The sequence below is a fragment of the Homo sapiens genome, chromosome 5, assembly GCF_000001405.40.
Source record: "Homo sapiens chromosome 5, GRCh38.p14 Primary Assembly".
NCBI lineage: Eukaryota > Metazoa > Chordata > Mammalia > Primates > Hominidae > Homo > Homo sapiens.
Genome location: NC_000005.10, coordinates 94,960,132 through 94,985,947, shown reverse-complemented (window position 1 = coordinate 94,985,947; position 25,816 = coordinate 94,960,132). Strand labels below are relative to the sequence as shown.

The 25,816-nt window shown below is 35.9% G+C and overlaps 1 protein-coding gene and 1 long non-coding RNA gene across 57 annotated transcripts in view; one reads left to right on the top strand and one right to left on the bottom strand.

Annotated features, from left to right (window-relative positions):
* MCTP1 (multiple C2 and transmembrane domain containing 1) overlaps positions 1 to 25,816 on the top strand; it is a 581,405-nt gene that overhangs the window by 299,147 nt on the left and 256,442 nt on the right. The window contains exon 1 of one of the 56 annotated variants that reach the window (XM_011543650.3): positions 6,885 to 6,964. The exons of the other annotated variants lie outside the window; for them this stretch is intronic. The gene's annotated coding sequence lies outside the window, so the exon portion shown is untranslated. Of the gene's footprint in view, positions 1 to 6,884; positions 6,965 to 25,816 lie in introns of those variants that run through there. 56 annotated transcript variants of the gene reach the window in all.
* MCTP1-AS1 (MCTP1 antisense RNA 1) lies at positions 5,055 to 7,250 on the bottom strand. The gene is made up of 2 exons (NR_189169.1): positions 6,341 to 7,250; positions 5,055 to 5,124 (listed from the first exon to the last, which is right to left on the bottom strand). It is a non-coding gene; the product is annotated as an MCTP1 antisense RNA 1 (long non-coding RNA).

The window sequence follows — 25,816 nt, the reverse complement described above, 5'->3', positions numbered from 1 at the left end:
AAAAGCTCACTTTAAAAGAAATAAAACTTTTCTACCAACCATAAGTGAACCAAAACAATCAACTCGATGTCAGATTATACAGACAAGCCATTTATACCATCTTTATCCATTCCTTCCATGGCTGTTTAATAATTAAACAGTGTAATAGACACACACTGTGAGCTCTGCAGAATGGCAGCAACTATGTTTTTCACTTAGTCTCTATATGTTTTGAATCTCCTGCATTTCTGTTGCATTTTTACTTTTCAGACTTTTAAAATTTTACTCTAGCCAAAAGGCCTGGTGTATAAAAGCCAGGCCCACTTCACATATTTTAAGAGTTATGAAGTAACTTTGTCATAATCACAAATTGTTGAAAAATTAGAGAGTAGGACTTGGGTTTGGAATCTGTTTTTTAAGTGAAGATCTTCAGAACTGGCAGTATTCATAGATCTGTGATAATTTAATGGTGGCAGTGTTGTTACCAGTTCTTTCGACAAGGCCTTTGATCGCTATACTGCACTTCCATATAGACATTGTAGGTGTAAAAATTTAAACAGAAGAGAAAATAAAAAATAGATCTTATTTCAAGCAAAATGAAAATTTAAATAACGAATGACTGGGGCTTCAAATCATTTGTCCCAATTAAGGTAGCATTTGTATTCAATTATTAACAACACTGAGTGATTTTAATGTAACATATTAACAATTAAATTATCTTACTGGCCTGTCTCCAAAGAAAGTACTTGGGGGCATTTATCACTCATGAAGTTTTCTGGTGCCTGTTATCACAGGTTCTCACCATTTCTGAAGATGATGGCTTTTGTAAAATCACCATGGTCAAAATCTTTTCTCGAGTACTTGCTCCCTGATGCTGGAAGGACTTGGAGATTTATAAGTAGGGAATAATGCTACCACTGAGATATTTTAATTAGTTTTATCACACATTTGCATACATTTTTGTATAGTACTTAAAATGCCTTGGATATTTTATTTACATCAGAACTCATATTAAATTGGATGTAAAAGGACATTGATGTGTGATTTAATCATCTTCTATAAAGTTTATTAGCAAGTGCTCTCTTTTTGAGTAAAGAAAATGTCAAATATTTTATACTTAATATTCATATTATTTTGTTGAATACTTATCGAATGTGTTCTTAGGTGATTTACCTTTATATTAAATATAAAGTGTATTCATACTTGAAGTTTTGCATATCATGACAATGTATTTGTACTTAAGGCTATAACCTTATGAGAGAAGAAAAGCCATCTATCAGCTTTAAAAGATGATTATTTTCTAAGGTCATGTGTCCATTGTTTTACTTTTTTGTCATCCATGCTTAAAAGAAGGTATTTGTAGTTTAAATTGTAGATTTCAACTCACCACCTACATTCCTCCTTTTTATGTTATTATTATAACATCAAATTTCATCAGTCTGGCGTTCAAGACTCTCTGTTAACTGAGTTCATATGCGCTATTGAATAGTTTTATCTCTCATTAATCCCTAAATCAAATTTTCCGCTTCAGCCAGTGTGGTTTTCATAGATTTCCTAAACGTATACCATGTTCATTTGTTCCTGCAAACAGAAGCTGATTCAGTTCTTTACCTTAAATACTCCTTTGTTTTCTTTGCCAACTCAAATTCCTAGCCAAGAGCCTTTCACTGAGGAGTGTGTTCTTGATAATGGCTATATTTTTAAAAATGTCTTAACAAGCAAAAATTAGTCCAGAGCATTTAAGGTAGTGAGGGATGGTTAATAGAGAAGAATGGGAGACAGATGGGAGAGTAATAAGTCTGGAAACTTATGGAGGATACTGACATCTGATTCAAATATTTAGAAGATTGCTTCATAGAAGAGGAATTACTCATTTTTGCTCTAGATCTAGAGTCTAAAAATAGATTTAGGACTAATCTGGGGGAGTGCTGATGAAGCAGATATTTGACTCACTTCCATGGAATAAAGTCATAACAATTTGAGCAATTCAATATTCATAATGCAGTACAAAATGTCCTGAGCACTGCTGGATTGTTAGAGACTGCCAGTTGTCCAAAAATATCCATTTGCCCCTTCTTCCATCATAGAGCTCTCATGTTTTAGATGGCCACAAGGTTGCTCAGCTTCGGCTGACATTTATCAGCCATCCTTGCAAGGGCTATAGGTCGGAAGGCATAAATTGAAAAGCATGTAATTGTTCTATTGCATTGGGATACCCAGCCATGTATGGTTTTGCAAAAAAGAAATGAATTACTTTCTAGTTGAAACCAATAGATAGATAGATAGATAGATAGATAGATTGACAGACAGACAGACAGACAGACAGATAAAGATAGGATCTCAGTGTGTCACCCAGGCTGGTTGTGAACTTCTAAGCTCAAGAGATCATCTTGCCTTGGCCTCCCAAAGTGTTAGGATTACAGGCATGAGCCACCATGCCTGACCAAGCCACTATATTTTTTGGATCTCTTTGTTATGGCAGCTTAGGCCTCTAGCCAATACACTGATACCATTTATAAGAAAGAAAACTTAGTTACACCTAATAAAAGACTTTCAGCTACTTTTTTATTCCTCTAACTACACCATAAATATAGTCTTCAAGGTAAGTTATTAGTTTTCTATTGCTTTGTAACTAATTTCCGCAAGCTTAAAACAACAACCATTTAATAGCTCACAGTTTAGGTAGGTGAGAAATCTGTGCATGGTATAGTTAGGTTCTCTGCTTAAGTATTACAAGACCAAAATTAAGGTGTCAGCTAGGCTGAGCTCTCACCTGGAGCTCAGAGTACCTGTCCAAGCACATTCCTGGTATTGGCAGAATTCAATTTCTCGTGGCTATTAGTCTGTTTTCTTGCTGTCTGCCAGCCAGGAGTTGCTTTCACCTTCTAGGGGACAGTCCAAGGTACTTTACATGTGTCCCCCTTCATTTTCAAGACAGCAGTAGCATGTTAAATCCCCCTTATTCTTCAAATCTGATTTTTGTTTATGCTATCAAGTAGAGAAAACTCTCTGCTCTTAAAGAAAATGGGATAAAATTAGGTCCACCCTGACCATCTTTTTTTTTTTTTTTTTTTTTTTTTTTTTGATGAAGTGTGCTCTGTCCCCCAGGTAGAGTACAGTGGCACGATCTTGGCTCACTGCAGCCTCTTCCTCCCAGGTTCATGCAATTCTCCCACCTCAGCCTCCTGAGTAGCTGGGACTACAGGCATGCACCACCATGCCCAGTTAATTTTTGTATTTTTAGTAAATACAGAGTTTTGCCCTGTTGGCCAGGCTGGTCTTGAACTCCTGACTTCAGGTGATCTGCCCATCTTGGCCTCCCAAAGTGCTGGGATTACAGGTGCGTGACCATCTTTCTTTTGATGAACTCAAAGTCAACTTATTAGTAACCTTAATTACATCAGCAAAATCCCTTTTGCCATATAAGTAACATAATCATAGACATGAATGAAATTTCATCATATTCAGTCAGTATAAGAAATCTTGGGGGTACATTTTAGAATTCTGCCTACCACAGCAGGAAAGACATTTACCACCAGCTTGAAATGATGGCTATCTCATTATGTGCTCGATACACCATAAGTGTGTCATTGCCTTAAATATATTTTAGTGCTGAATGTTGCCAAATTTCATTTGTTGTTATTGTATCAGTACCAAGATAAACAAGATAACATTGACATTGACAGGAGTCGGAATAGATTCTGGAAATATTTTATATTTGATTATATTGTATATAACTTAAAATCTAAATTTTAAAGGATATAGTGTAGACATAAAGATAAGAAATGTAAAAATCCATACTCATTTTGTATGTATCATTAACCTTTAGGTTAAATTTGTCAAAATATTTCAGGCCAGCTAGTCTTAAAACTTAGTAATTACTTTGAGTAACTTAAGAAAACAATGTACTTGCCCTTTTATGATTGGCCCTTTAAGTACATTCTGTTTTTCTGTTATAGGTATATTCCCTGATCAAAGAACGATAACTTGACATCAGACAAGGCAACCTTAAAACATTTTTTCCTGATTATTCATTTGCTCTCTTATTTTAATTTACTTGAAGAAAAACCCCAAACCCTTTCTAAGGGCCTACAGAGCCCCACATGATCTGTTGCCCCACTCAGCTCTGATTTCATCTCCTTTCATTCACTTTCTAGGCCACTAGCTCCAGCAATGTTAGAATTCTTCAGGGCCTCTGCACTTGCTGCTTTCTCTGCCTGGAAACCTCCTTCATTGTTTCAAGTCCCTTTTCAAATGTGTCCTTATAGGTGAGGCTTTCTCTCCACACCTCATCCAAAATAGCAAACCCTCTGACCACCACGCCTTTACCCAACTCTCTGTTGTTCCATGCTCTGATCACCACACAGCACACTGTATGCTCATATATTGGCTCACTGCCTGTCTTCCTCCACTAGAATGGAGGGAGACTCCTTGAGAGTAGAGATGTTGTTTTATGCACTGCCGAATCCACAGCACCTAACACATGTTGACATCCAGTAAATATTGTTGAATGTGTGAGTGTATTTCAGGAAAGGAAAATCATACTAGCAGGAGAATTTATTCACTCTGAGAGCTAGCACAAATCTTGTAATATGCAAGAGCCCTGTCTTCCTTAACAAAGTAATAGGATGTTAATGGCATTGGAAAAGTAGCAAGTTTAACAGAAAAGACAGAAGGCATAAAAAGAGTGTGTCCCTTGGGAAGTGTATAACTTAGATTGGTTCTACATCTTTTATTAAACTTACCAGTGGAAACCTCGGACTTTTCCCACACCCTGCCAGAGAGTTGAAGGGAATACTGTGTTGAAGATAAGAACAGGGACCCACACCACCTACCACTATACTATATCTGCCGTCTTTGTCTCTATCAGTGACGCCATGCTTTAGCAGGATAATTGCAAGTTTTGAAGTCACTTGTCACATTAAACACTTATTAACTGTTTTTAGCATAAGGGGTGAAGGTTTTTTTTTCATTGTTCCTCAAGTATTTTAGTTACATGGTAGGTGTTAACATTTTGCTTTGCTTATCTTTTTTACTTATAAAACTTATATAACCATTGACTATATGGAATAATATGATAATTGAAGAAAAGCCTTTAATTAATAATCAAGGAGATGGTGGCAACTGTAATCATTTCCTTTAAACCTGTATTTTAAAACGAAAAAAACTTTTAGTTGCTCATCTGTGGAAGCATACCCTTTAAAACTTCTCTCATTGAAGAACATGGATAAGAAGATCAGCTTATTGTATCTTTTTTTTAATGACCTCAAATATAGAATCGTGCCAGTGACAATGTCTTTAGGACTACACATGCTTGGAAAGGGTGTCTATGAAATAAGGACTAGCCATTTCCTTAAAGCTCTAAAGATTCAGATGAGGAAGATTAGCTCTTTAAACATACATTTTATGACATACCTGTCCAAAATCAAAATATACTATATCACATAACATATGTTTTCAACAAATATTGAATTTCAAAAGGAAATTCAATATTTCATTGAATTCCAGTGCTGTGCTGGAAGCATTCAAGCTGCCTCTACATTCCGTCTATATGATCATGTGTCATATGTTACTGGGTTTGTAACTAGAATTTTTGTATTAATGAAAGACTGGACGAAGTCTCTTCCAATGCTAAGACTTTTTGTTTCTATAAGATTATTCATTCATCACTTAGTTGTGACGGGAAGGCATTGGAAAGTGGGAAGATGAATCATTTGCATAATATGACTTTGTTTTGCTTTGCTGCTGTTGTTAAAGTAGGGGGAAAACAATTAAAAGATTATAAATGATTTATCTAAAATATATCTGGGAGTACTGTTTTAAATGTCACTAAATTCCAACAAAATGGTAAGGGTAATTTTATTAAAAGTTCCTAAAACTATATGTTTAGTACTAATTCTTATAAAGCATCATTATTGGAGTAAACTGTTGATCACTTGATATTTCACAAGTTGAATTTTTAAGGTATTTTTTAAAACTAAATGTCAGTGGAGTCCTTTCTTTAAGGGCCTTAAATCTTACATTTTCCTTATTATTAGCACCAAACAATATAATCATGATTTGTTGTGGTTTAAATTTTGTATTTGTTAAGATATATAACTAAACAGATAAACCCGATATATCAATGATTTAACCTAAGAAAAGCTGTTTTTCTTGCTCTTATTATGGTTTAATATGTGTCCGTGTTGGAGGGTGGGGCTCTAGTTCTGCTCCACACAGTCATCACGGGCCCCTAGTGTTTTTTTTCTATCTAGTGTTACTATCTCCCTTTTGGTCCTCAAAGCCTGTGGTTGACAGAGTAGAGTAAGAATCCCACATGGGAAGATTTTTATAGGCCAGGCTTAAAATTGGCACACATTACCTTTTGCATTTATATTCAGTTGACCAGAATGCAGCCAATTGACCACTCCTAATTTTAAAGGAGGCCGGAAGCTATAGCTCATATTGCCAAGCAGTAGCATTCTTGGCTATACTCTACCTCTGGTCACCAAATATGTTTCACTCTTCCTGCATATAGAAGACATTCACTCTTCTCCAAGAGAAACAGTCAAAGTCCCATCTGATCACCGTATACAGCTCTAAGTTCAGGATCTCTGAATAAAAGGATATTCTCTGTCAGGTCTGAATGTGGTTCCTTGTAGCCCTCGGAACTAAGAATCTGCCTACAGTCTCCCTATACACATCCAACATACAATGGTAGAAATCATGGGGGGCACAAGTTACTTGTCAGTATAAATTCTGAAATCCCCATGTCCATAAAGAGGCCAGATGAAGGCCTCTTAACCTGGAGAGTAGGAAAATTGTTTGATTAGAACTTTTCTGTCTGGGAAGAATCCTCTTGTTTGTTGTTCTCCGTGGCAACTGGCCCCTTAATTTGGGGATCTATTTCTTATTCATTGTCCTCTATGGCCATGTCTGAAATGGGTGTGAAGGAGCTTGCTCTCCTTGGGGATTGTACATCTTTCATATCCTGCTTCCTACTAGGGTAATGTCAGGGATCTCAAACAGCTAAGTTCTTTCTCTCAAAAACTCAGTAGGCAGTAGGCTTCTGTGTGCCAATGATCACACCCAATGATCTTGGTTTTTTAAAAAAATTTATTTTATTGTGGTAAGAACACTTAACATGAGATCTACACTCTTAACACATTTTTAGGCATATAGTACAATATTAATATAGGAGCAATGTTGTACAGCAGATCTCAAAAACGTATTCATCTTGTGTAATTGAGACTTTATGCCCATTGACTGGAAACACCCCATTCCCCACCCCTACTACCAGCCCTTGGCATCCACCATTCTACTTTCTGATTCAATGAGTTTGACTATTTTAGATATCTGATGTAAGTGAAATCATGCAGTATTTGTCCTTCTGTGGCTGGTATATAGCATAATGTCTTCAAGTTTCATCCATGTTGTCACATATTGCAGGATTTCCTTCTTTTTTCAGTCTGAATAATATTCCATTATATATATATACCACATCTTCTTTTTATGCATGCATTCATTGATGAACATTTAGGTTGCTTCTATGTCTTGGTTATTGTAAATAGTGTTGCAATGAATATGGGAGTGCTTATTTCTCTTTAAGATCCTGATTTCAGTTCTTTTAGATAAATACTAAAAAGTCAGATTGCTAAATCATATGGTAGCTCTATTTTTATTTTTTTTTAGAAATCTCCATATTGTTTTCCACAGTAACTGCACCATTTTGCATTCCCACCAACAGTGTACAAGGGTTCAGATTTCTTCACATCCTCACCAACACGTGTTGATAGTTTTCCTACCAGGTGTCAGGTGATGTCTCATTGTATTTTTGATTTTCATTCCCCTGATGTTTGGTAACAGCATCTTTTCATATACCTGTTGGCCATTTGTATGTCTTCTTTGGAGAAATGTCTATTCCAGACTTAGCCCAGTTTTAAAATCAGATTATTAGGTTTTTTTGCTATTGTGTTGTAGAAATTCCTTATATATTGGAAACTAACCCCTTATCTGATATATGATTTGCAGATATTTCCTCTAGTCCCATTTGCCTGGTTTTACTTTTGTTTCCTGTGCTTTTGGTGTCATACTCACGCAATCATTGACAAAACTAATGTCATGAAGGTTTTTCCCTGTTTTATAGTTTCATGACTTATATTTAAGTTTTTAATCCATTTGTATTGATTTATGTATATGGGGTAAGATAAGAGTCCAGTTTCATTATTCTGCATGTGAATATACAGTTTTCAAAAGCTATTCGTTGAAGACTATCCTTTCCCTATTTTGTATTCCTGGCACCCTTGTTGAAGGTCAGTTTACCATACAGGCATGGATTGATTTTCATTCTGTTCCTTGGACTATATGTCTGTCTTTTTCACAGTACCATGCTGTTTTAATTACTGTAGCTTTGTAATATATTTTGAATCAGGAAGTATGATGCCTCCAGCTTTGTTTTTCTTTCTCAAGATTTTTTTTGACTATTCGGGGTCATCTGTGGTTCCATATGAATTTTAGGGTTTTTTTTTTCTATTTCTGTAAAAAATATCATTGGAATTTGATAGAGATTTCATTGAATCTATAGATTGCTTTGGGTAGTATGTACATTTTAACAATATTCCATTTTTCAATTCATGAACACAAGATGACTTTTCATTTATTAGTGTCTTCTTTAATTTCTTTCATTAACATTTTATAGTTTTCAGTGTACAAGTCTTTTACCTTCTTAGTTGAGCTTATTTCTAAGTATTTTATTATTTTGAGGGATAATGTAGACACAATTCTTTTTCTTCATTTCCTTTTCAGATAGTTCATTGTTAGTGTATAAAAATGCAATTGATTTTGTATGTTGATTTTGTATCCTGCAATGTTACTTGACTTGCTTATTTATTCTAACAGTTTGTTGTGGAATCTTCTGTTTTTTATGTGTAAGATGACATCATCTGCAAACAGGGCCAATTTTACTTCTCCTTTTCAGATTTGGATAGCTTTTATTTCCTTTTCTTGTCCAATTCCTCTGGATAGGACTTCTAGTCCTATGTTGAATGGAAGTGGTGAGAGTGGGCATCGTGTTCCTTATCTTAGAAAAAAGTCTTTCAGTTTCTCACCATTGAGTATGATATTAGCTATGGGATTTTCACATCTGGCCTTTATTATGAGGTAATTTTCTTCTCTTTTTAGTTTGTTAGAGAAAATACAGTTGTGCTACATGGCCAGGAAGAAGAGGAAACACACATCAGTGAGGGGTAACAATCTCAACCATAACTTCTCTATACACATAAGAAAAACCTTCCTTCTAAATATCTTGTGGAAAAAATAAGAATGTTTTTACTGTATGTTTGCTATATCTATTTATTAGATATTGAGAGATATGTCACAAGTATATCCAAACACCTTTATTCTGGTCTGGTTTCTAGTTGGTTGCTCTGAAGAAATTGAAATCAATCAATCAATCAATCAAATAAAAAACTCTTAGAAGATTGCTACTAAAATTAGATTGTCTAAAAGTACTTTTATTATTTATTTATATATTTATTTTTTGAGATGGAGTCTTGCTGTGAAGCCCAGAATGGAGTGCATTGGCGTGATCTTGGTCACTGCAACCTCCACCTCCCTGATTCAAGCAATTCTCCTGCCTCAGCCTCCCTAGTAGCTGGGATTACAGGTGCCCGCCACTACACCTGGATAATTTTTGTATTTTTAGTAGAGACAGGGTTTTGCCATGTTGGCTAAAGCGAGGACAGGCTGACCATTTTTAGGAATTACAGTGAATGCCAATCACCATAGCTTGGGGAAGTAGAAATGGCAAATGCTTACTGTTGTAGAAGTGGTAGCACAGTACTCTTGTGATATTAAGCTTTACATATTTCAGATTAAGTACTTAGTATCATAGTGGATAAGAGTAGGGAATAAGGGAGTGGGACATAAAGGGTGTGCAACTTAAGTACTGGTTACCTCATTAGGTTGTGTTGTTATTATGCGATGATACATATTCCTTCCTTCAGTTATACATGTGTTTTCAGTCAACAAAGATTTCTCGATGACCCAGGAGTTGTGCTAGACATCAGGGATCAGAAATAAACAGCAAGGCCTCAATGTGACAAGTGCTATGGCAAAGAATGTTTGGGAGTGTAAGAAAAAGGCCTAATAATGTCCATGAGTAGATCAGGGAAGGCGTCCAAGCAGCAGTGAAGCTTGAATAAATACTAAAAGAAGACTGGCCATGGTGGAGTAGGACACTCAAGAGAGAGGGAAAGGGGTGAAGAGAGGCACAGTTATTGGAGAGAGGCTGTGACTTTGAGATGGTGCAAATATTCTATAGATGGGATGTCTGTTGAGAGATGAGTCTGCAGAAATTAACAAAGAAAATTTTGTATGATATGCCATCTTTGCTTGGGCTGTTATAACGAAATACTGTAGACTGGGTGGCTTAAACAACAGACATTTATTTCTCACAGTTCTAAAGCCTGGGAAGTCTAAGATCAAGGTGCCAGCAGATTGGGTTCCTGGTGAGGACCTGCCTCCTGGCTTGTAGACAGCCACCTTCCTGCTGTGTGCTCAGAAGGCCTTTCCTCAGTGCATGGAGAAAGAGAGAGCTCCCGTGTCTCTTCTTTGTCTTATAAGGGCACTAATCCCATCAGGAGGGCACCATCCTCATGACCTTATCCAAACCTAATCGCCTCCTGAAGTCTTTACTTCCAAATACCATCACATTGAAGACTAGAGTTTCAGCCTACGAATTTGGCAGGGAGTTGCGGGGGTATAAACATTCAGTCCATAACACATGCTGTGCCCCTCTTCACCCCTTTCCCTTTGTCTTGAGTGTCCTACCCCACCATGGCCAGTCTTCTTTCAGTATTTATTCAAGCTTCACTGCTGCTTGGACACCTTCCCTGATCCATTCTAAAATCACTGAGAAAGAAATGAAGAATTAAAAGCAAGGGAATAACAGAAAAACAATCGTAAGATTTTGGAGAATGAATTGAAATAAGGAAGACTAGAAGCATGGAGACAAATAGAAGACCATTGGCTTGCCTTTTTTCTCAAAGTGAATATATGAATAGTCTAAGAAATGTATTATTTCATTACCATGGTCATTTGTGATGTATTTTAATCACATTGTAATATAATTGCTTGAAATTATTCCAGTTAATGATAGTAATTAATCTACAAAAGTCGTGCAACTATTTGTATTGTTATTACTTATGGTTTTAGCTGATAAGGAGATTTTTTTGGTTTTTTTTAGGGTCATAATCATTTTTTTCATGCATATATTCTATAGGATCTGGTTATTTTAATGGCACTTTTTTGATACTTAGGTTTATTTATATAATATTTGTAATTAATTATAGGCTTTTTCTCTTGACTTAACAAAGCCAATGAATCCTCTGAAAATAATAATTACTACTTTTTGCTGTATACTTATGTATTATTATTTTTCAGGGATAGGGTCTTGCTCTGTTGCCCAGGCTGGAGTACAGTGGCACAATGAGAGCTCACTGCAGCCACCAACTCCTAGACTCAAACAGTCCTCCTGTCTCAGTGTCCCAAGTAACTGGGACTACAGGCATACCACCATGCCCAGCTAATTTTTTAAAAAAATTTTGTAGATACAGGGTTTTACTGTTGTTGCCCAGGCTGGTCTCAAACTCCTGACCTGAAGAAATTCTCCCACCGTGGCCTCCCAAAGCATTGGATTACAAGTGTGAGACACTGTGCTTGTTCTATTTATGTATTCCTAAATGATTAGGAAAAATAGATAATTAGTAACTGTTATCTCAATTGAAATAAATCATTCCACATATGAAATCAGAGATTTGATAACCATTTTAATATGTTTGTAGTTCTTTATTTAAATTTAATTATATTGAGTCAAGTTTTCAGATTGTTAAGTAATTATATTACTTTGTCTTCATGTTGAGTAAGATGAAGAAAAATTGCTAATAGTTATTGAATGTTTATTTTGTGGGAGGAACTGTGCTAAGTACTTGATATGTATTATGTAATTAAACCCTCACAATGACCTTAAGGAGGTTCTATAATCGTCTCCATTTCTATCTATGTGCATCTTCTACTTGTGCAAGTCCACACAGCTTGTAAGTGCAGGAGCAGAGATTGGAACCCAGGCTTTCTAACTTGGAGGTCGAACTGTGAACTACCCTGTACCACACTAAACCATCTCTATTACAGATGGAGTGGTCATGAGCCTTTTCATCCCCCTCAGAAATATACTAAGCAATCTCATACCTTTTAATTATATTTTTCTATAGAGCACCATTAAGCAATTTTATTTGTTGCAGAAAGACACCCAGTTTTAGGCTTCTGAATAAGTGCCTAGCTTAGCAAAGGTAATATATTAACAGTAATGTATGTCATTCATACAAGCCAACAAATATTTATTGAGCACTTGAGTACCTGCTTTGTGGCAGGTTCTGGGATGCAAAAATGGTCTCTGTCTTCATACTATTTTTGGTCTAATGGAGACAAAAGACACTAAATAACTCATCTTCCCCGTCAAATTCACTGAGTGGGTGTAACCAATACTCTGTTATGCTAATGGCACAGAATTAATAATTGCCAAATTGATTGAGATCCATGGCTTCCCTAGTATACAATCTTGTCTCTCATGGGGGAACCAGGAGATAGATTATGGAAGGGCTGAGCCCAAAAATAATAGTTTGAGGTAGACGGGACAAGTCGGTTGATCGGAAAAGATGACGATGGTTAGGCATCACAGTGTAATGAAGTAAATTTGGAATCTAGAATCAAATAGCTCTTGTAATGGATTCTAGAGCTGCCACTGCTTACAAGTTAGGTAACCAGGTCAAGCAGCCTAATCTTTCTGAACCAGTTTACTCATCTGTAAAATACTGAGAATACTAATTTATTCATTTGCTTGACAAACATTTATTAGATGCCTCCTTTGTGCTAGTTTAACCCAACTCACAGGGCTAGAGTTATAACTAAATAAAATATTGTATTAAAAGCACAAGGCACACAGTAGATACTCAAGAAAGTTAGTTCTCTCCCTCCTCAACCCAGTGGTTTTTTTTTTGTTCATTTAGTGGACTTTGCCTTTCAGTTCTGTAAATGAGAAACCCCCTTGCCTAAGAATGGCCAGGCTATGGGAAAAGCTGGTTCATCCCCCATAGTCTTATTAAACTGAATTGAATGGGACTCACACAAAATTGATTGGCTCTGTGAAGTCATATGAATCATTCTAATTAAGAAACATGCTTTTCTAGAAGGAAAATCTATTTGAAAAGTTGTTTCTTAATTAGAATGATTTAGGATGCAAACTAAGCTTCTGGTAACAAGAGACCCAACTTTTCTGATAATTTTTAAAATTATATTTTCTTCCACATGAACCCCAGAAAGATCTAGAGCTGATGATATGGTTCTGCTCTCATCACTGTGTGGTTTCCATCTCTTGTCTAAAGCAACTGCTCCATTTTCACCATAAGACCCAGAAGTTGCATAGGTCACTTATTCTCACATCCTACCAGGAAGGACATGGGTACATGGCCACACCTGTTGCTTGGAGAATAAGATATTCTCTGAAGGGAGGACCAGGCATTCCGCTAAAACTCACAGAGACTCTATTCAGTGATAGTGAAGGGAAAGGGGGAAAATGGCTGTTAAGGGTTCAACCTGCCACAGAAGACAAATTAGGATCCATAGTCTCCATGGTAAGAGTGTAAGATGATAAAAATTTACTCCTGTTTGTGCAAAATCTCCTGAACAAGGAGAAGCTTTGAATACTGATGCTGAGCCAGAGTTCTGGGGCCTGGGTTCCCCACAGCAGTGCTTGTGGGTGCAGAATATGGACTGAAATGTAGTCCAAGAGGAATAAAATGGCCTGATTTGTATATGATGGAGAGAATTCCATTAGGACTTAGAGGATGGGTTTGAAGGAAGGCAGAGAGACCACGCAGAAGGCTCTAAATAATCTAGATAAGGAATGATGGGGCAATGGTGGCAGAGATCATTTCAAGAGATGTTTTACCAATTGAACAAAGATCTTAAGAACAGATGTCAGGTGGGCTAGGCTGAACTGGTGGGCTAGGTTTGTTGCAAATGGAAATTTAATAATTAGAATCCACAGGACTTAGGAATTTGTTAGAGTAGAATGAACTGTGATTATAAATGGACCTCAAAATATTTAATGGCTCAAATGTAATAGAAGTTTATTTTTAACCTACATAAGAGTCCAAGGCAGGTGCTTCTGATTGGCAGATGGCTCTCTGTGTGGTGATTTTGGAACTCAAGTCTCCTTCGACCTCACATCACTTTTAACTTGTTTTATTTTAAGAACTACATTTTGTTCCTTGGCATATTTAGCAATGGAAATAATACCATTATTGAATTTATAACAACTCTGAATTGAAAGGTATAAAGCAAAAGAAGTGCATATATAGAATAAACAGATTATAGAAGCATCCACTAGTGGGAAATGTCTGTCTGATTATTGACCTTTAGCAATAATTAGTTTGGGAATTCAGAAATTAAAACACTTCTACTCAAGTTTCACTAGTTTTCTACATATTTAACTTTATCTTGCTAGAACCTTGATGATAATTTCCTAGACACACTTAACAAATGATGCTCTGCCCCATTTTTTTTTAAATTGCATTCATTGTTTACCTAAAAGGGATAAAAATTTAATAAATTTTAGAAATAATTCCTTTAAGTATATTAATGAAACAGGTTTTGGTGTTCTACGTGGTAATTTTTAGTTTCCTAGAAAATTCATTTATGTGGAATGGCTTATTCTCTGTCAAAGACATGCAAGAGAGGTCTTATCAGAGACCCTCAGAGAAATTTGGGAAATCCCCTCATTTTAAGGATACAAAACTGTATACAACAGAGCCTAAGTGACTTTTCTAAGATCATAGTTCTTGTAGACATGTAGACAATAGACACAACTAACTCTTTGGCTATAGGAGTACTGGGACTGCAGAATCCAAATAAGAAGAAAATCCCAGAATCATTGCAATTAATAATACCCAGTGTGACCCACAGATGAAAAGGGCTGAAAACGAAGAAAAGCCCGTTGAAATTGATGAATTTTTAAAAGTTATTGGTGACACTCAAGGAAACAATTTCAGAAAAGTATTGGGATAGCCAAGAAAAAAAAAAAGGATTGAAGAGGCGTAATACTTTAGGGTCTATTTTTTAAAATATTCTGATTTTTTAAATAGGAAAGTTAAAGTTCTTTTAAAAAACGTTTAATTTTTTAGATGTGATTTTTTGTTAGGATGGCTATATAAACATGGTAGCATATTTCAGCAGAATTCTCAGGAAAAATAGTTTCCTTTCGGTAAAAAAAATTAATAGTACTATATATTGTATCTACTGAGTCACTGAGTCAATTACCAGTCATAGAGCGAATTCCTGGAGGAGACAGGAGTAAGGCCCTTTGGAAAAAATGACATCTAGGATAGTTGTTGTAGTTGCTCAATGTCACCAAGTAATATACAACTTACATTCAAAATTAAAGCAATCCATATTTTCGTTTACCTAAACTTCCAGAAGTTATCAGAAAATTGCATTTAGATACCACCTGCTGTTTATGTCAGATATGAAAGGGAATTTGAATAAGTTATATGAATAAGTATATCCCAAATACATCCATACATATATATCCCAAATTTGAATAAGTTGTATGAATAAGTATATCCCAAATACATCCATACATATGTATCCCAAATTATTCATGTTATATTTGGGATACAACATGAATAATTTCGTCTTGCATGTCTTCAACTCTGCATTTAGGAGAGAAAACTAAGCCTAAAGGTTACCTGAACTGCCTTCTACTACTCTTCAGGAAATAAATATACCTAGTGCCATCCTATGCTACACTTTACCATACTATTATTTTAAATTAATCTATGTGCTATATCATGGTAACTTACCAGAAATTTTAAATTCATTGGAATATTCATGTTCATTATGGAAAAAATGTTGGTTTACTTTTATTTTATTATATGAAGCCACCTGTGATTATAAACCTCTTGCATTTAAATTTTAATATATTTAGTTATTTAGCATTATGAAATATTTCCATCCTAGGGCATAACAAGTCTCCAGCAAAAAATGAGGGAATAGAATAGCTTATGGAAATTATTTTAACACATCCATAAGGTACCCTTTTTGAAGATTTTTAAATCACTGATGTTTTGAATGTCACTATTTTTACAACCTCTCAAATGTGAAGGACCTTATTCTACAAGGATACCCTCTGTTACAATTGGACAGCAAAGGTAGCTAGCTTTAAATATTTGTAGGAAGATCAGTTATCTTCAGAAAGATCCAGCTTAAATTTTAACTGTCCCCACAATATATGTGTTCACTGCTTTTTTTCTTTTGTCTTTTTTCTTATTCCTCCTCCTCCTTCTTCTTGTGACACTGAGTTGCAATTTGGCATTGTTTTCGATGAAGACTTAGCATTATTGAGTAGTTGTAGATTTCCCAAAACGTGAGTAGCTGTTTCTGTTTCATTAAGTGCTAGGTTTGGAATGAGACTGATTTAAACTTGTTAACCAGGAGGCTTATTTATTCTGAGAATGAAAAGCAAGAGTATCATTAATAGACAGCTATTTACATTTTAAATATCTTTAATACTAGTTTAAGGGAAGATAGGCTGCCATCTTGTGTATGCTGTGTTTATTGCTACATAAAAATGGACACATTCAGACCACGTTTAGTTGTGTTGTCTTAAATAACATAAAAGGCTTTAAATATTACACAGAATGTTGAAGTGCCCATCAGTATCCTGCCTTGTAAAAAATAAATAAATATAGCATTAAGAACATGTACTCCTTTGCTACATGAGTAAACATTATAGAAACCGTCCAATTCCTCTTTTTAAAGGAATTTTATTCCAGCATTTAGAAAAAATTGATATTTCCTAGGTCTAGGATAGTCTAGAACTTTTAGACCATGGAATTTATAATTACAAAATAATGTTTTTATAAACAAATTCTAAAGTTAAGGCTACCTGACAAAATGAATATGTGAAAGGTTGTTCTTGAATATGACATTAATAACAAAATCTGAATTTTACTGTAGGGCGAATACTTTCTAGATTCATCTTTCGTACTTTTTGACTTGTTTTCAATTCATTTATCGTCATAAAAAGTATGTCAATGAAAGTAATGGTCCAGATAATAACAACAAAGCATATGCTGCCAGAAAATGCCTGGGAACTTCAAAGTGTGCCCTGCAAGGCGCTCTAACCTTTGGTTTCAATAGCAGAACCACAGGCCTCTCTTTAATTTGATAAGTACTATTGCCATCTTGTGGTTTTATGCAATATTGCAACAAAACAGCACTGGCATATGAAGCTATTGATTTTTTTGAGTCTTTCGAACCAACAAACTAAATCCTTTTTGTATAGTATGTTTATTGAAGATTAACCACATACCACATATTAGTGACTTGGATTTCCTGGGAGTTCTATTACAATAAAATTATTTAAATCCACTGTAAAGTCAATAATAATATAATCTTGAAAACGTGTAATTTCCCTATAATGAAATATAAGGAAGTAACATTTCCCAAAGAGAGATCCAAGGATTGTTGGTCCTAAAAGATGCACTCAAGAAAAGTAGGCCTCATAGTCAAAAAAACTTAGTAAGTGATGCCTGTCAAGCCTCCTTCTTGGAAAGTCATAGTGAACGTTCAATTATTTAAAGGCTACAGAAAAGGAATCTATTTAATTTTCTTCTAAACCAGTATTTTCCAAATATACTTGACCATATAACTCCTTTAAAAAATAAATAATAGCTATTAATGTCATCAGATAATATCTTGCTAAAATATACTTGGTAAAAACACTTTCAAACATAGATTAGTGCATTAGTTAAAAATCTTTCACTGAACCTAAATTAAAAGAACAATGTCTCCAGTTACCCATGTTGGAATCACAACAAGCTGAGGGTCTTGAAATATTAAGGACTCTCAATCACTAAAAGTCCCCTAAGTTAAGAATTTGAAAATGATTAGAAATTTCTTTTTAATACTTGGCTATTAAAATTATGAAATTTTAATAACAGTACCTAAAAGCCACTAAGTGATGGTTGGAAAGAGAAATGTAGCAAATTTTATCCTATGAAGTCAAAACAAAGCAGAGAAAATTAGATGACGAACTACCAAGAGTTGTTCGCCTGGATCTGTTTTTCCTGTGCTAATGAAATTTGCTGACATATTTACCACTTTTAAACCAGGTCACCCTGTGACCAAGACCACACGTTTATAAAATATTGCGCCATCATAATACGTTTTTGGAGATCCTAACAAGCAGCCTCTGTCTCTCTCTGACACCAGTCTCGAACATCTCTGTGTCTATTGCAGACTGAAAAATCTGTCCTTGAATTTTAACTTAACTCTTCAATCTACTCTTGTTAGCTGACATTTTACTTCTTCAAGCCATTGGATATTTACAGTGTCATCAGGGATATGACACCCAGCATGAGAAGTGTTGTGTTTGGAGACAGCCTAGTGTAGCAGTTAAGTTCAGGTTCCAGCAGCCTAGTTGTATGACTTTGGGGAATTTACTCCCTTATTTCATGCTGCAGTTTCTTCAGCTGTGAACTCAAGATAACAATAGAACTCATCACATTGGCTTGTTACGTGGTGTGTGATAGCTGATATAATAAGTGTTCAATAAATGTTAGCTATAGTGATCTAAGTTCCCTTTTATAATGGAAGTGGTACCATTAAGACCCAGCAGACCACCCAGCAGGATTCTAGGAACCATCTCTACCCAACCTTCAGGGGATTTTGACACTTAACCTACACAGTGGTTGAGAAAAAATGTTTCTGGGAGGGAGCAAGAAGCAAAATGCTTCTCAAAAAGATTAACATCTGAGTGTATAGGCCTCTGTGCTAAATTACTAAAAGTTGTATCAGTATTTTTACATAATAGCCAAACTAAATGAAGTTGACATTGTGTACTACCAATAACTGCAGAGAAACCCAATAAGGCCAGATTTTGTGCGAGTGCGTTTTTTGTAAAATGATCATTCCTAGTTTTGAGGGGAACAAAGAAATAGATCATTGTAACAACACTTTGAAATGGGAGAAGGCTTTGTGATCATGTGCAAGAAAAAGCACTAGCTGAACTAGCCCTCAGATTTGAGATTGAGTTTGGGCCCTGCCACATCCTTGGTTTTGTTGTTTTTTTTTTTTCGAGACAGAGTCTCGCTTTGTCGCCCAGGCTGGAGCGCAGTGGCACAGTCTCGGCTCACTGCAACCTCCGTCTCCCAGGTTCACGCCATTCTCCTGCCTCAGCCTCCTGAGTAGCTGGGACTACAGGTGCCCGCCACCACGCCTTGTTAATTTTTTGTATTTTTAGTAGAGACGGGGTTTCACCGTGTTAGCCAGGATGGTCTTGATCTCCTGACCTTGTGATTCCCCTGCCTCGGCTTCCCAAAGTGTTGGGATTACAGACGTGAGCCACCGCGTCCGGCCAGCCACATCCTTATTAACTGTATGACTTGGAGCAAGTTATTAACCCTTCTTGGTTTTCTCATCTATAAAATGGAGGCAATAGTAGACTCACTGAGATAGTGGTGATTAAACAAAAGTATGAGAGCTTTATAGACCAGAATAAATACTTGTCAATAGTGGTATTATACGTAGTATTGCAACAATTGCTTAATACTTTCACACAGTAGTTATATGCCACTGTTTTAGAGTTAAAGAAAAATATGGGTGTCTGGGATTCCTAAACTGTTGAATAGAAGAAACATTGGGCTTGGAGTCTGAAAGTCTAAATATGCCCTCCATTCCTGTCACTTATTAGCTTAATTGTTACGATATTTTGGGCAAGTAACATAAAATTCCAGATTGTTCCTCACCTGCAATGTAGATTGATATTAATAATATATGCTTTTTCCAACTCAAAGTCAGTTTGAGGATTGTTTAATCTGTTTGTGCTGGTATAAAAAAATACTTGGGACTGAGTAATCTATAAATACACAGTTATAGATTTCTCATAGTTCTGGAAGCTGGAAGTCCAAGCACCGGCCGGTTTGGTGTCCAGTAAGGGCCTGGTCTCTGCTTCAAAGATATTGCCTTGTTGCTGGGTCCTCTGGAAAGGAAAAAACATTGTGTCCTCACGTGGCAGAAGAGACAGAAGGGGAAAACATCCCCTCAAATCCTTTTATAAGGTATTATTCTATTCGTGATAGAGTCCTCATGGCCTAATCACTTCCGAATCACTGCCTCTTAATACTGTTACATTGAGGATTAGTTTCAACATGAATTTTGGAAGGGAAATAAATGTGCACGAATTTATCAAATAGCAAGAATGTATTTGATAGTACTCTGTACACAGATTCACTTATTCATTTACTTATTTAACAAATACCTGTTGAGACTAAGAAGAGTAACATCAGCAAGATGGCAGAATAGGAGATTACACCCCTTGTCCAGTCACAGAAAGACTGATAAAAAAAACCATCCACACACACAAAAATACTTCCCTGAGCTCTGGATTCCAGGTGAAAGGTTACACCACACTAGTGGAGTACAGAATGGGAAAAGGCACAGTAAAGGGCTGGAAGGGCAGTTTCACTCTACCTGAATCATTTTCCAAACCAGAATGGTGTGAGGACTAGAGAGATCTCCTCTGTTCAGAGCTCTCCTGTAAGGAAAAGAGAGTGAAGTGGATATCTGACTTCCCCACAGACCTAGGCTCCAGGCCCACTCTAGCACCAGCTGGTTCCAGCAGAAAGAGAAAAAAATGGCATCCAAGAATACTTTACCCAGAAAGTCTTTCCTTCAGAAATGAAGGAGAGATATAGACTTTCTCAGACAAACAGAAGCTGAGCAAGTTCATCGCCTAAACCTCGATTATAAGAAATGATTCAGAGAGTTATTCAAGCAGAAATGAAAGGATGCTTCTTAGCCAAACATGAGAGCATAAAACTCATTAGTAAAGATAAGAATATAGTCAAATCCAGAATTTGACCAATAGTTATTATTCTAATACTATAATGGTGGTGCATAATCATTTTTAAATTTATTATGAAAGTTCAAAGACAAAATTATTAAAAATAACTATAGCAAAGGATTTACAAAACAACTAAAAAACAGTTAATAAAAGAGCAATAATAAGGTCTTACCTATCAATAATTACCTTTAATGTAAATGGATTAAATTATCCAATCAAAAGACAGAGTGACTGAATGGATTAAAAGAGAAAGACTCAACTATATACCACCTACAAGAGACTTACTTCACCTTTAAGGACACATATAGATTGAAAGCAATGGTATAAAAAAAGATATTCTATTTAAATGGAAACCAAAAGAGAGCAAGCGTATCTGTACTTATATCAGACAAGACAAACTTTAAAACTGTAAAAGAAAGATGATAATTATGTAATGATAAAGGTGTCAGTTCATTAAGAGGACATAACAATTGTAAATATATATGTACCCAAAATTGGAGCACCTACAAATATAGGGCAAATATTAATAGATCTGAAGGGAGAGGCAGACTGCAATACAATAATAGTAGGGGACTTCAATGCCCTACTCTCAGCAATGAACAGATCATCTAGACAGAAAATCAATAAGGAAACATCAATCTTAAACTACACTCTAGACCCAGTGGACCTAAGAGTCACATATGGAATATTCTGTTCAGCAGCACATCATTCTCAAGCACACACAAAATATCCTCCAGTTAGATCATATGTTAGGCCACAAAACAAATTTTAAGAAGTATAGGAAGATTAAAATCATATCAAGTATCTTTTTTGATCACAGTGATATGAAGCTAAAAATCAAAAGCCACAGTATAACCAGTATGATGCTAGCATAAAAGCAGACACATAGGCCAACAAAGCAGAATACAGAGCCCAGAAATAAATCCATCATATGTAGTCAATTAATTTTTGACAAAGATGCCAACAACATACAATGAGGAAAAGAAAGTCTCTTCAGTGAATAGTGCAGAAGAATGAAATTTGACCCTTATACTATATAAAAATATCAATTCAAAATAGATTAAAGACTTAAACGTAAGACCTGAAAATGAAAAACTACCGGAAGGAAAGATAGAGAAAATGCTCCTTGACATTGGTCTTGGCAATGACTTTTGGGATATGATGCCAAAAGCACAGGCAACGAAAGCAAAGATAGGTACATGGGAATACATCAAACTGAAAAGCTTTTGTGTAGCAAAGGAAACAATCAACAAAATAAAAAAGCAATCTATGGAAGGGGAGAAAATATTTGCAAACATACCTCTAATAAGGAGCTAACATCTAAACTATATAAGGAACTACTACAACTCAGTAACAGAAAAACAAATAACTCGATTACCAAAACAAAATGGCAAAGGACCAAAATAGAGATTTTTCCAAAGGGGACATACAAATAGCCAGGAAGCATAAGAAAAGGTCCTCAACATCAGTAATCATCAGGGAAATGCAAATGAAAACCACACTGAGGTATCAAATCACACCTGTTAGGGTGGCTATTATTAAAAAAAAAAAAAGAAAACAAGTGTTGGACAGGATCTGGAGAAAATATGACCCTTGTTCACTGTTAATGGGAATCTAAATTGGTGCAGCCATTAAGGAAAACAGTATGGAGGTTTCTCAAAAAAAAAAAAAAATAGAATTACAATATTACCTAGCAATCTCATTTCTGGGTATTTATCCAGAGAAAATGAAATCAGGATCTAGTAGCGATATCTGCACTCCCATGTTCATTGCAGCATTATTCACAATAGCCAAGATATGGAAGCAATCTAAATGTCTATCAATGAATGGATAGTGCTATAGTTTGACTGTATGTTTTCCTCCCCATCAAAATTCATATGTTGGAACCCAAGACCCAGTTTGATAGTTTTAAGAGGTAGAGCCTTTAGAAGATGTTTGAGTCACAAGCATTCTGTCCTCATGAATGGGATTAGCACCCTTACAAAAGGGCTCAAGGGAACTAGCTAGGCCTTTTTGTCCTTTCACCTTTTGCCATGTGAGGACACAGCAGCAAGGTGCCAACTTGGAAGCAGAGTGAGCTTTCACCAGTTTTCAGAGCCCACCTCACATTTTTCTTTTTTTCAAGTTTAAAGATTTATTATGTATCTATTTCTTTTTTATTTCCATAGGTTTTTGGGGAACAAATGGTATTTGGTTACATGAGTAAGTTATTAAGTGATGATTTGTGAGATTTTGATGCATCGTCCAAGCAGTGTACACTGTACCCAATGTGTAGTCTTTTATCCCCCACTGCCTTCCCAGCCTTTCCCCCTGAGTCCCAAAGTTCATTGTATCATTCTTATGCCTTTGCATCCTCATAGCTTAGCTCCCACTTATGAGTGAGAGCATACGATATTTGGTTTTCCATTCCTGAGTTACTTCACTTAGAATAATAGTCTCCAATCCCATCCAGGTTGCTGCAAATGCCATTAATTCATTCCTTTTTATGGCTGAGTACTATTCCATCACATGTATATACATACACACAATATATATGTTATATATCTACAATATATGATATATAAATACAATATATACAATATATGATATATATATATCAATTTCTTTATCCACTTGTTGATTGATGGCCATTTGGATTGGTTCCACATTTCTGCGATAGCAAATTGTGGTGCCTTAAACATGCATGTGCAAGTATGTTTTTTGTATAATGACATCTTTTCCTGTGGGCAGATACCCCGTAGTGGGATTGTTGGATTAAATAGTCCTTCTACTTTTAGTTCTTTAAGGAATCTCCACACCATTTTCCATAGTGGTTGTACTAGTTTATACTCCCACCGGCAGTATAGGAGCATTCCCTTTCTACCCCATCCACACCAACATCTATTTCTTTTTTTTTATTATTATTATAGCCATTTGCGCAGGAGTAAGGTGGCATTGCACTGTGATTTTGATTTGCATTTCCCTGATTATTAGTGACGTTGACCATTTTTTCATGTGTTTGTTGGTAATTTGTATATCTCCTTTGAGAATTGTCAACCCACAGAGCGGGAGAAAATCTTCACAATTTATATATCTGGCAAAGGACTAATATCCAGAATCTACAATGAGCACAAACAAATTAGCAAGAAAAAAATCACATCGAAAAGTGGGCTAAGGAGGTGAATAGACAAGTCTCACCTTTTTCTTTAAATCATATAGACTATAGTTATTAATTGTAGCTTCAATGTAGACTAAAGAAGAAGAATGTGGTCAAACTTTATCATAAAGGAGTCAGGCCTTTCATAAAGAATTATTTTCTTGTGGTGAAGATTGTTACACACTGGAATGATTTACTTAAGGACCATCACTAAGTTACCTTCTCCAGGGATCTTTAACAGCAGCAGAGACTCTGTAGGTCAAGATTGGTCTCATTCATCAGCTTCACACAAAGATGAGAAATGGTATGATATATATTGTACATATGTGAAGTCCCTTCCTTTTTGTAGGTGTAGTAGAAATAGTGCAGGCATTAGAGTCAAATAGCCTTGGTTGGAATCCTAACTCCATCTCTTGCTAGCTTTGTATCCATGAACAACTTACTGGACAATTCTGATTTTCTTTCTTTTTTTTTAAATTATACTTTAAGCTCTGGGATACATGTTCAGAACGTGCAGATTTGTTACATAGGTAACATAGGGTGGTTTGCTGCACCCATCAACCTGTCATCTACATTAGCTGTTTCTCCTAATGCTATCCCTCCCCTTGTCCCCCACCCCCCAACAGCCCCCAGTGTGTGATGTTCCCTTCCCTGTGCCCATATGTTCTCATTGTTCAACTCCCACTTATGAGTGAGAACATGCACTATTTGGTTTTCTGTTCCTGTGTTAGCTTGCTGAGAATGATGGTTTCCAGCTTCTTCCATGTCCCTACAAAGGACATGAACTCATTCTTTTTTATGACTGCATAGTATTCCATTGTGTATATCTGCCACATTTTCTTTATCCAGTCTATCATTGATGGACATTTGGGTTGGTTCTAAGTCTTTGCTACCATGAAGAGTGCCGCAGTAAACATACGTGTGCATGTGTCTTTATAGTAGAATGATTTATAATCCTTTGGGTATATACCCAGTAATAGGATTGCTGGATCAAATGGTATTTCTAGTTCTAGATTCTTGAGGAATTGCCACACAGTCTTCCCCTGTGGTTGAACTAATTTACACTCCCACCAACAGTGTAAAAGCATTCTTATTTCTCCACATCCTCTCCAGCATCTGTTGTTTCCTGACTTTTTAATGATTGCCATTCTAACGGTCGTGACATGGTGTGTCATTGGGGTTTTAATTTGTATTACATTTCTCTAATGACCAGTGATGATGAGCTTTTTTTCATATGTTTCTTGGCCACGTCAATGTCTTCTTTTGAAAAGTATCTGTTCATATCCTTTGCCCACTTTTTGATGGGGTTGTTTTTTTCTCTTAAATTTGTTTAAGTTCCTTGTAGATTCTGGATATTAGCCCTTTGTCAGATGGATAGATTGCAAAAATTTTCTCCCATTCTGTAGGTTGCCTGTTCACTCTGATGATAGTTTCTTTTGCTGTGCAGAGGCTCCTTAATTTAATTAGATCTCATTTGTCAATTTTGGCTTTTGTTGACATTGCTTTTGGTGTTTTAGTCATGAAGTCTTTGCCCATGCCTATGTCTTGAATGGTATTGCCTAGGTTTTCTTCTAGGGTTTTTATAATTTTAGGTCTTACGTTTAAATCTTTCATCCATCCTGAGTTAATTTTTGTATAATGTGTAAGGAAGGGGTCCAGTTTCAGTTTTCTTCATATGGCTAGCCAGTTTTCCCAACACCATGTATTAAATAGGGTATCCTTTCCCCATTGCTTGTTTTTGTCAGGTTTCTCAAGGATCA